We start from the raw sequence: 12,869 nt of genomic DNA, 5'->3' as shown, positions 1-12,869 counted from the left end.
CTCAGTTCCTACCTACAGGCCCTAACTGCTCTTTGTGCCTTTTTAAAAAATTTTTTTCTGGTCATAATGCCAAGTAATATGTTTATACCTCTATTCCTTATCTCCCTGATATGAAAGATAGTGATTTAGTTGAATTATGTTACCTTCCTCTATGTTACTATGTTCTTGCCTCTCTTCCCCAAATTTGATATCTGTAACATAGCTTTAGCTCTACTAATAGTTATCTTAATCCAATCAACTTTGGCAGGATTTTTAAAAATAGATTTTACTTTTTGGAGCTGTTTTAGGTTCTCAGCAAAAGCAAAACTGAGCATAAGGTACAGAGATTTCTTATATCGCCACTTCAATAGAGTATTTTTTTAATTCCACAGTTTGTAAGAAGGAATATTAATAATCAATTATAATAGTGATCCTAAAACCAAAGACAAAGGGATTATTGTCTTATACTACACTAATTGTTTAAAATTGTGCCTTATTTTCTTTTTAATATTCAGATCATGGCTTTCTTATTCACCTTTCTTTCTTCTCTCTTTTTGCTTCTGTTTTAGTCTGTTTCAACTACTATAATAAAATATGAAGTGGGTGGCTTATAAACAACAGAAAATGATTTCTCACAGTTCTGGAGGCTAGGAAGTCCAAGATCAAGTTATCAGCAAATTCAGTATCTGGCAAGGCCTCTTGGTTCACAGACAGCTATAGTCTTGCTGTGTCCACAGCAGAAGGAAAAGGTTGCTCTCTGAGCCTCTTTTATAAGGGCACTAATCCCAATCTTGAGGGCTCTGCTCTCATGAGCTAGCCCCTCCCACGAATACCTTACACTGGGAGTTAGAATTTAGCAAACATTCAGTCTAAAACACATCTTATCTCCTTATTACATGATGCTCTTTTTTATATACTTTTTTCATCATACCACCTATTCTCGAGTTCCCTGTCATTTTCCTGAAGATGTCTCTCCTGGAAATCTATCTATCCATCCTCTGTTCCTCTCTGCATTGGTTGCTCTTCAGGCCTGTTCTGCAGTTGTTTTCCAAATATCTCTCTTCACTGCCCTCCTGGGCCGAGGCTTCTGTTTGCTGAATTGCATGCTGTCTTCTTCTTGGTCAGTTTGCCCCTAATTTTATTGGTTACATCCTCAAGGGCAATTACATTTTTAACTTCTAAAAGTCTTTTATGCTCTCTAATTGTTCTTTTTCCTAACAACCTTTTATTGACTTTTCTTTACAATATCCCCATGAGAATATTTTTTAAGTTCTCAGTCCTTCCATTTTCTCTACTGCTTCTGTAGTTTGTGTACTTGTTCCTATTGGTCCTCCTTTCATTTAGTTGCTTTTCTTCAAATATTTGATGATCTTTTGTTGTTCATTCTTATCTATGAGTGAGAAGCTTAATTGGTTACCTAGTAATCAATTGGTATGGGTTTTCTCTCCCATGAATGGCAGAGTAGACTGCAGGGCTTATGTAACTGGGTGCAACCTATTTATTAGAAGGCTTCACTTCAGGGCACCTGGGCATGGAGCAGGCAGGCTAGCTGGAGTTCCCAGTTGCTAAAATAAGAAGGGATTTTCTGGCCTGGCACAGTGGCTCACGCCTGTAATCCCAGCACTTTGGGAGATGAAGGTGGGAGGATCACTGAGGTCAGGAGTTCAAGACCAGCCTGGCCAACATGGCAAAACCCTGTCTCTACTAGAAATTCAAAAATTAGCTGGGTGTGGTGGCGTGCACCTGTAATCCCACCTACTCAGGAGGCTGAGGTAGGAGAATTGCTTGAACCTGGGGGGCGGAAGTTGCAGTAAGCCAAGTTCGCACCACTACACTCAAGCCTGGGAGATAGAGCGAGACTCCATCTCAAAAAAAAAAAAAAAAAAAAAGAAGGAATTTTCTGCGACGGTGGCTATCCTCCCTCCTGGACAGGGCTTTTTTATTCCTTTAGTTTGACTGCATTTCTCTCTCAGACAGCTGTACCCTCCTTAGAATTCTATCCTAGCTGGTGTATAAGTTTTCTTTGGCCTGTATCTTGAGGATTTTAGCTTTAGGTTAGTGATGCTTTTGCAATTCAGTTGCTGGGGCTCCTATCCTAATTAAATTATTAATTATATTTTTATTGCCCAGTGCTCTGCTCAGTTCCTGGTATTTCTTCACTTTATTTTTAGAATTTCAGTGGATTTTGTCTTATTGTCTCAGTGGTTTCCTCATGTACATAATGTATTTTGGGTTTCCTCAACTCTTGTCAATCCAAGCCCATTGATTTTTTCTTTCTTTGGGTGCACCTCACAATTTCTGGTTTGCCGATAGTGACTTTTCCTGCTTGCTAGTGCCGATATGGCTATACATGACAAACAGTCTGTAAATGTAAGGGATTTGGGTCGGTATTTACATAGACATCACATTCATTACCCTGGTTTATTTATTCTTATAGAGGTCGTTTAAGCTAGTCATTTGGTGGGATAGTTTTAATTTCTTGCTTCAAGCCACAGTGTTATTGCCCTGCAATAGTTTTATGTGAGCAAGTGGTTCGTACTTACTGGGCAATCATACTTTCCAGAAATTTTAAGTGTCTGAACCCTTATATTTGCACATGGCTATTGCTCTATGTATAGTTGTATTTTTTGTGTGTAATTAATAAGCCACCAGCCCATGATGCTAAATTCTAAGAGCAAAGATGTCTTTAAAATGAAACTGAATGCTTTAGCTTTCCTTTGTAGCACTTTGTATCATCATAGACTCCTGAATTGTTTCTTCAACATGATAGCCTTCAACCAAATAAACATGTGACACCTACTGACTACATTTATTTTTCCACTTTGGAAAGACCCGTCGTGGTAGAAGGGGATGTTAATAGACTTGCCCAGTGGAGCTTATTAAGTTAGTTCTTAAAAGAGGAACTGAATGGAATGGTAATAACACAGATTCTCAATAGCTCAATGGCCCTCCCCAGCAGAGAAAAGGCTGACCTCATTTCTGGATTACTCTCTGACATAAATTTCTCAGTCACAGGATATTTCAGAGAATTTTACATGAAACTCAGGAAAACCACATTCCACCCACATTTGGTCTTGACAGAGACTCATGTTGTGACATATATACTTTTCTATTATGTATACTAGAAAAGAAAAATCTCAGAATGGAAATTTGGGAACTTGCTGGGCTTACCAAAACTGAAAATATAACTGTGGCTGGGTTCTTGTAGAACTGAGTGATAAAGAAATTGTCTTTTATAAGTTTCAGAAAAGAGATGGTATTTTTATGTGGGTAACCTTTGAGAACCAGCAAATCACTAACATGGAAGATACCCAAATTCCCCATCTTAAGAATATAGTAGAAGTGTAATTTTAAGATTAAAATGCAAGTCCACACATATGTAGCTAAGAACACAAGCCCTCTAAGATGAGCCAAGAAAAAAAAATTACTGATGTTTGACTCAGTTAGCTATTCTTTCTGACAGGAGATTAAAGCCGCCTGTGAGATTTCTTTGACTCGTGATTCATTTAATTCGTTTAGACATTGCCAGCAGAGCAAGCTACGACAAAGCAGATCCATCTTAACAAGCTCACTCCTGGCTGTTCTAATAAAGAAAAATAATTGAATTGCTGATTTTGATTTTTCAAAATGCACTCAGCATTTGAGTATTTGGCTTCACACTCCAAATAAACATAGAAATATTTATTACATCATCTTCCCCAGAGTGAATGGGAAAAAAAGCACACACACAGAATTAGCTCCAGGTAGCCTTTAAACTAGTGTAGCACTGAAGTATGTTTGCTGTGTTTAGTTTATTATAATTGAATTTTTAACTTAAAATCTTACTGTCTTATTTGGAAGAAGCACCAGTTCAAAGCACATAGGTCTACGTTGATAAATGAATAACGCTGATGTTAAGCACATTTATTATGAATGTTATTTCTCAAGATGCACCTGCTGCAGCGGAGAAGAATCAGTCCTGGTCAAAGTGAGCAGTAGGTAGAGCTGAAGCAATAAGCTGGTGGTCAGACATATTTATTCAACCTGAGCACTGTTTTTAAAAAAAATGCATAAACATTTGAAAATCAGGAGACTCCACATAAAAATTCAGACATGCGGTTCCCTTGCAAATTTACAGGAATTAGCAACAGGAAAGCTCATTTCCAATCCTCAGGTGCTAAGTAGCAGTAGATTCCTCCATTGCTTGCAGTGTGCGCACATGCACTTCACCAAGCTGGCCTCATTTGTATTTCCTGCCTGATCTGTAACACAGGTTTGGGACCACTGATAAAGACAGTAAAGCATAAAACTTAGAATTAAAAGACCTCTATACTCATTCCACTGTTAGCACCAAGGCAATGCTCATTTGGATGTAGCTAGCATCTAGACAGCTAGATCTTATCCAAATATACTGATGATGGGCTGTGTATCATCATTAAGAGGCAGCTTTACCACAGCTATGTCCAATGCACAGCAAACTTGCTCAATTAATTACAACAAAGTGGATGGTCTCTGTATCTTGACTAGGATGGGAGGGGAGAGGGTTATAATTAAAGTCGTATCTAGAACCTGGAACTTTAGATATTATCTAATTTAAACTTCACAATAAGGTCATGAGGATGGTGTTTTATAGATAGAAAAGCAAAGTTAAGGAAAATAAGATGACTTGATGTTAAACAATTACTAAGTGGTAGGGCAGCTATTCAAAGCCAACTCTGTGTGACTAAAAAAAATAAAATCTACATTTTATCAATTTTATAACATCTCTTTGGAGACATATCCCCTCTCAATAAAATGAGAATGTTAATCCTTTGACTCTCAGAGGTATGCACTATATTAATTTTTATGTTTGTGATTCTATGGGGGGATATTAGCTCATATTACCAATATTTCAGCTTTAAAATATAGAAAACTTTAAACAGAACCCTTTTATACAACCTCCCAGTGAGCAGTTATCCTCCCTTATATGAGTTTGGCAGCAGCTATAATAGAGAGTCAAATTAGCAGTGGCTCAAACACATTAGAAATGTATTTCTTGGAGTTTCATACTTTCTGTGACTCCCACGTGCTTGCACATTAATAAATTTGCATGCCTTTGTCCTATTAAAAAATGTATTTCTCCTCACATAATAGTCTGAGATTAAGCATTTCACAGCCAGTATTATGAGTTCCAAGTGGTTAGGACTCAAGTTCTTTTTAATCTTCTTCCACTGCCCTAGAGTGATGTTCTCATCCCATGTACAAGATGGCTTGCTACCACATTGCACACATTATTTTCACTCATATCTCATTAACAATAATGTAATGAAATAACCACACCTACATATGAAAGAGTCTGGGGAATGTAGTTATTGTCTAAGGCACCCTGTGCCTCGCTAAAATTTTATTATCATGGAAGGAGGAGGAAACCAGTACTGTGAGACAGTGATCCATCTCAGGCAGATCCTTTAAAACTTACACATAAAGTACAACCATACCATACTTCTCCCTTCTGATGTAGATGCCTGTCTGTACTAGTAACCACTTGACTTTTTCTTCTTTCTATTTTTGTGTCACTGTCAAAGTCCTGAGCCTTTAAAAAGTCCTCCTATTTTCTGTGAGTAAAATTAGGAGATGATGAAAGTATGATTTCATGAATCACATGATTTATTGCCACACCAAGATAATTTTTTTCTTAGGTTGGCAATGCTTAAAGAGGGAGAGAATAGCAAGAACAAATGTCGAGGAAATATGCTTGATAAACGTGGTACATTAACCACATAGTGAGTGAGTTCCAAAATTGTTAAAGTTTAGTTGATCGATTATGATGGAGGCAGACCTCTGTGGAAAGTAAAGTCTAATGGAAGTTTGAGGTGTACCTTTATGCAAGTGGTTCTTGAGAGAGGCTGGCTTCACCAACTAGATGGAGGAAGACCACCAAGGTTGGTGAAGACACATAAGTTCCCTCCATGCTAGAGGACAGTGCTGGTGTTGGATGGTGAGGTTTCAGAGATTAGCTCAAAGGCTAACAGGTGTGGCCCTGTCATAGACTGAGCTCTCAGTCTTCAGACAAGTGGCTAACAAGAGTATAGCCCTGTAGTAGACTGAACTCTTCAAGTGTCTGTCAAACTCTTGGGCTTATATGTATTTTGAAGTCCAATCGTTGAGGTCAATAGCTCGTATATGGGGTCTCATAAGGTGTGACATCTCAGTCTTGAGGAGAGGGAGAATTCACTCCAAGTTCTTGTCATAGAAAAATATATGTCACCCAAGTTGCAAACTATGAATCATTTCACAGCTACCTAATACCTCCCTAGGTTAGGTCTTATGTCCACACTTGATCACATCAGATTTCTTCCTGTTCCATTTGTCAGTGTTTCCCTCTCCCAACTCTGTATATTTTGTGGTGGTGTTCTCATTTGGAAATTACTAGCCCTCTATATGTCAACAAGTGTCAATCTTCCTCCAGGTTAACTTTAAAATACAAATTTGTAATACATCTTTGTGGAGGTAGGATGATTTTCTTAGGTGGGGATTTCTTTTCATATTCAATAGCGTACTATTTTGACTGGAAAGGGCAAAACAGTATATGATTACATTTCTTTGGTAGTATCAGGTATATAGATATGCACTTAACAAGTAGCAATCAGCTATAGTCGTGATTCTCATGTTTTGTAGAGCCATTGAGTATCTATTAGACAGAAACAACTGCAATAGTCATCATCAACAATTAATAATCCATAAATTGATCTATAGATTTAATGCAATCCTAATTAACACCTTATCAAGCTTTTTATTGACGTTGACAAGCTGATTATAAAATTCAAATGAAAATGCCAAGGACACGTAAAAGCCAAGACAAACTAAAAAATATTGGAGAACAACTAATACCTAATTTCAAGTCTTATTAAGATACAGTGACTCAGACAATATAGTATTAGCATTAAATAGATGACTGAAACATAACAGGGAATCCAGAAATAGACTCATACATTTATAGACAACTGTTTTTCAACAAAGGTGTAAAGGAATTGAGTGGAGAAAGGATAGTCTTTTCAGTAAATGTAATGAAAGAATTGAAATACATATGCAAAAAATGAACACTGATCTACATCTCACATCATATACAAAAATTGACTTGAAATATAGACTTAAATGATCAAAAGCATGATCCATGAAGCCACAAATTGATAAACCGGACTTCATGAAAATTTAAAACTTCTGCTCTTCAAAAAACACTGTTAAGAGAATAAAGAAACAAGGCACAGACTGAGAGAAAAATATTTGCAAATGATATATCTAGTTAAAGCACTTATATCCAGAAAGTATAAAGAAATCTTGAAACCCAATAATGAGAAAATGGGTAAGTCAAAAGGCTGGTGTGTTGAGGGTTGGGGGGATGCCGGGAGAAAGGCAAGCAAAAGATTTGAACATATTCTTCACCAAAGAAGGTGGTAAATAGGCTCATGAAAAAATGCCCAACACCATTAGTCATTAGGGAAATGCAAATTAAAACCACAATATGACATCATTATGAACCTATCAGAATGGTTAGTATTTAAAAGTCTGACAATACCAGATATTAGTGAGGATGTGGAACAACTGCTGGTAGGAATATAAAATAGCATACTTTGGAAATTGTTGTGTAGTTTCATTTAAAGTTAAGCATACGATTGCCATATGATCCAGTCATTCTATACCTGGGTATCTTTTCCAAAAGAAATGAAATCATATATCACTTGTACATTAAGGTTCATAGCAGCTTTATTTGTAAGAGCCCCAAACTGCAAACAACTCAAATGTCCATCAAGAGATGAGTGAATAAACAAATTGTGCATATCCATACAATGGAAAACTATCTGCAACAAAATGAGATGAGCTATTTATTGATATATGCAACAACTGATGAATTTCAAAGTAATTATGCTGAGTGAAAGAAGTCAGACAAAGAGTACATACTATATAAGTCTATTTATATAAAACTCTAGAAAATGCAAACTAATGCAGAGTGACAAAAATTAGGTCAGTTCTTGCCTGGGGTGGAATTAAAGAGAGGGGCTCATCACAAAGGGGCTGCAGGAAGAAATATTTTGGAGTGGTAGAACTCTTCTGTATCTTGATTGCTGTGGGGGTGGTTACATATTCTGCTTGTCAAAGCTCACAAAACTATATTGCCTCTAGGATAGTATAGCTTAAAATTACCTTTCAATAAATGAATTGATAGGCTCTTGGTATATACCAGAAATAAAATTGATTTTTAATAAAGAAAATGGAATCTAAAATATCCATTAATTTTCCTCATTGTTTTCCTCCATGCTGGGCTATAAGATAACACAAAGTGTAACTGTAGTTAAAAAAATTATTCATTGTTTATTTAAAATTCAAATGTAACTGAATGCCCTAGTTATTGTTTTTGCTAAATCTGGCAACCCCAATATATCTATATCTATATCTATATCTATATCTATATCTATATCCTATCTATCTGTCATTCTGACTGTCTGGTATAAGTGCCATGTCTATTTTTAAGCAATTTAACTTTGTGAAGAATCTTCCAAGATAAACTGTGTGCAAACTGTTTTCCCAGGTAATAAAACACAATGATCAGTGATTTAAAGTTATCTGATATAAATCAATCAAGTGCTGGAGGCCAACTACCAAAAATGATTATTTTTGTTTAAAGTAATTAAAGCATTACCATTGGCAATAATAGGCTGTCAGACCAGTTTTCTCTGAGGCCACTGATAGTTCAAGAAAATAAAACATCATTAGCATATATTGCAAAGCAGTTTATACAAAAGTGGGATAAAATCACTAAGCCACAGGGTAAAAAAGGAAGACATTTGAACAAAAACATTTCCCTGTTTTACTCTGCTAAAATTAATGTCTTGTAAACTAAGATAAGATTCTAGGAAATGATTGCTGCTACCCACCTTTCTACTAACAACTCCAGGATACATGTCTATTTTGAGCCAAACAGCAGTTTAAACCAATGCAGGGCTAGGTGTTAACATGGCCTTGGGTTCTGGGGGTACCCAGGGGAGAAACTGAGGTGAGGGCTTCCCCTGGGTCTGGGCAAGAGCCTGAGACCCACATCAGATTACCCAGGAAGAGGATCAGAAAACAAGATTTGGAAAAAGCTTGCCCCTCAGGGATCCACTTACCATGGAAAGAAGGTAGTGTAAGACACATATTAAAGTCACTGGCTCCCTACCCCTAAAAAAGCCAAGAAATTTGCTGAGTAGTTATGCTAAGTCCTGTGATTCCTGAGGCTAGAGGAAAAGTTTGGGAACCTGGAGGCTTCTTCTGGTAGCTAGAGACTAGCAACTTGCCTGCCATTGCATTGCCAGCCTGTGTGGTGGAGTGCCACCATCCATCACTCACCACACTGCCAGGAGCTTAGGTGCTTCATTAGCTACCCCAGAACATGTTAATGCTGTAAAAACCCTGCTAAGGGCTGGGCACAGTGGCTCACACCTGTAATCCCAGCACTCTGGGAGGTCGAGGTGGGTGGATTGCTTGAGGCCAGGAGTTCGAGACCAGTCTAGACACAGTGAAATCCTGTCTGTACTAAAAATACAAAAATTAGCCAGGCATGTTAGTGCACACCTGTAATCCCAGCTACTTGGGAGGCTGAGGCAGGAGAATCACTTGGACCTGGGAGGCGGAGGTTGCAGTGAGCTGAGATTGTGCCACTGCACTCCAGCCTGGGTGACAGAGCAAGACTCTGTCTGAGACAACAACACCTACAAAAACCCTGCTAAGGGCCCACAGCCCAGAGAGACAAAGATCACTCTGGACAAATACAACATTCCTGGTGAAAGAGAACTGCTGTAAGAGAAACATAAGGGAAAAGTGTTCAAGAAGATGCAGGTGATATACACATGCACACACACACATATTTTCTGGTGCTAAAACAAGCCATAGTTTCCCTATGAAACAACTTAGCACATGAATTGAAGGTGAGGATTGTCATCCCAGAGGTTAAAAAAAAAATGGCCTGAAAGACTATGGAAGAAATAGCTCAAAGGACACTCATGTGAAATCAGGATAGAAATCATGAGAGGACAGAGAAGAAGACTTGGGGACAGATTTAGTAGACATAACATGTAATAGAAATAGAAAGAAATAAATTATAAAACTGATAATATAAGAAAATTTCTGGGAGCTAAAGACCCAAGTCTACAGACTAAAAGAAATTGCAGAGAAATAGGCAGGGTTAATGAGGAAAGAACACACACTTAGGCATATCCAGGGAAATTTGTGAAGCCCTGGAATAAAATAAAGTTGTACAAATTTCCAGCCAGTAAAAGCAAATTATCTACATGAAAAATGACAGTACAGGAAAAGAAAATAATAATTCATGGAATTAATTAAACAAATATAATGGAAAAGTAGAGTTGAATATTTACATTAAGAAGGGAAGACATGGCCGAGTGCGGTGGCTAACGCCTGTAATCCTAACACTTTGGGAGGCCAAGGAAGGTGGGTCACCTGAGGTCAGGCGTTCGAGACCAGCCTGGCCAACATGGTGAAACCCTGTCTCTACTAAAAATACAAAATTAGCTGGGTGTGGGGGTGCATGCCTGTAATCCCAGCTACTTGGGAGGCTGAGGCAAGAGAATCACTTGAACCTGGGAAGGTGGAGATTGCAGTGAGCCGAGATAGCTCCATTGCACTCTAGCCTGGGCAACAAGAGCAAAACTCTGTCTCAAAAAAAAAAAAAAAAAAAAGAAGGGAAGACATAGCACAAATTGTAAGTTGATCGAATCAGCAGAAATGAGAAAAATGAAACAGAAGAAACATTTAAAAAAAAAGACATAAAGTAAAATAGAAAACATAAAAGTAAGTATATCAATCATAACATTAAAGAAAAATGGGCTAGTTTCTTCCATTAAATGTCAGAGATTGTCAAATTTGTTAAAATATAAAACCTAACTGCAAACAACTTAGAACAAAGTGGTTTAAAAAAAAAAGATTAAAACTCAAGAGATAGGAGGTCATACTTCCTGTTTGTTGGAGAAAGGAGAGGAAGGAAAGCATGAGGAGCCACTGTGGCCACCAGCGCAGCTCTGTGGAGCCCTACAGAGTGCTGCAGAGCCCAGAGGAACCTGGAGACCACACCACCCACCTGTCCTGCTACTCACCACCACCACACATCCTCGGACCTGTTCTCACCATGTGTTAAAGCATGGGGGTTACTGTGAGGTTCTAGGCGTGCAGACCTGCCTACCCCAGCATATTAAAAAGGCATATCAGGAAACTGGCACTGAATTGCCACCCAGATAATCCTGAAAATAAGGAAGTAGCACGGAGTAGTGAGGTGTGTGAGGTGTTACCAGATGCTAGAAAAAAAGACACATCTATGACAAATATGGCAAAGAAGGATTAAATGGTAGTGGAGAAGATGGAAGTCATTTTGACAGTCTGAGTTTGGCTTAACATTCCGTCTTCAGGGAAGTTTTTGGTGGAAGGGACCCATTTCCATCTGACTTCTTTGAAGGCCCATTTGGGGGCATTTTTGCAGGGAATGGGGAGGAATTGAAGAGATTCCTAAAGAAACAGAAGCCGAGGGATGGGGCCATTTTTCTCTGCCTTCAGTGTACTCCCATCTTTTGGAATTGGGCTTTGTTCTTTTGGAACAGGGTTTATTTCATTTGGGTCACTAGGTCATGGAGGCATTATTTCCAAGTCATTTGATAGTAATGAGATGGGCAACTTCAAATCTATATCAACTCCTATTAAAATAGCTAATGGCAGAAAAATTACTAGGAAGAGGTTAAGAGACAGTAGAAGTTGAAGAAGATGGCCAGTTAAAGTCCTTAACAATAAATGGTAAAGAGCATCATCCACACTTGGATAACACGTACTTCAATGCATCTATAGAATGGAAATGTTAAACTCTAATAAGCACCATTTGAGGATTAGCAGTAACATATTTTGAAGATGTTGAATGAAGTTGATTTTCAGTATATTGTACCTAATCTGAAGCATTTATAAATAACTCATCAGAACTACTATTTGTCATAGACTTTTGAGTTTATTGTTGGGACCACATAATAGGACCAATTTGCTTTTATCTTTAAAAGTGTTGTAAATCTCTGTATGCACTTTGCTTTAATATTAAACCTACTCCAAGGTGAACAGTGACTCTCTAGAAATTGCTGAACAAGATTGTACACTAACACCAGCATGGATCTGTTTGTCCATTGTGTCTGAAATGTAAACCAAGTAGTTTCAGCCTGCTATGAAGTTAACATTGCCAGGATGAGCCTTTTATAGAAATAATTTCAATTTTTTCAGTATCTCACAGTGATAGATATGAATGCATTAATGGTAATACATTTCTGGCTTAGTATAAATTAAGGGTGTTTTCTAGTTGTGCATAAATGCTGACAACTTAGCAAGTTTTGACAATTGTTTAAATATGTAATGTTAAGCTTGGATTTAAAAAGTAAAGCTGGTAAACTGGGTCTTTGTGATTTTATTAAAAAATATATAAATGCACATGTGTTTGGTGAAAAAAGACATAAAAATAAGCAAATGCAAAGGAAATGAAAGCAAGAGTGATGGTATACTGTCAGACAAGGTTGATTTATGGTTAAAGGCACTTACAAATAAAGAAGGACATTATGCAATTATTAAAGTTTCAGAGCGGTGGAGCCAAGATGACTGAATAGGAACAGCTCCAGTCTATAGCTCCCAGCGTGAGCGATGCAGAAGACAGGTGATTTCTGCATTTCCAACTGAGGTACCGGGTTCATCTCACTGGGGAGTGCCAGACAGTGGGTGCAGGACAGTGGGTGCAGCACACTGAGCGTGAGCCGAAGCAGAGTGAGGCATTGCCTCACCCGGGAAGCACAAGGGGTCAGGGAGTTCCCTTTCCTAGTCAAAGAAAGGGGTGACAGAGGGCACCTGGAAAATCCGGTCAC

General features: G+C 38.0%; 1 pseudogene, besides 1 other annotated feature; it reads left to right on the top strand.

The window, feature by feature from the left end:
- The first annotated feature begins 2,319 nt into the window (after window positions 1–2,319).
- Window positions 2,320–11,837, top strand: LOC112267976 (dnaJ homolog subfamily B member 6-like; annotated as a pseudogene).
- Window positions 3,018–3,067: an enhancer, noted in NCBI's record as "active region_24768". NCBI's record gives its function as "activates an Ori minimal core promoter by ATAC-STARR-seq in GM12878 lymphoblastoid cells {active_cell/tissue: GM12878}" and the evidence as "EXISTENCE:reporter gene assay evidence [ECO:0000049][PMID:35858748]".
- Window positions 11,838–12,869: the final 1,032 nt, after the last annotated feature.

Source organism: Homo sapiens, chromosome 6 (genome assembly GCF_000001405.40).
Source record: "Homo sapiens chromosome 6, GRCh38.p14 Primary Assembly".
Lineage (NCBI taxonomy): Eukaryota > Metazoa > Chordata > Mammalia > Primates > Hominidae > Homo > Homo sapiens.
Note: the sequence above shows the minus strand (reverse complement) of the source record. Positions and strands in the feature narration are given on the sequence as shown.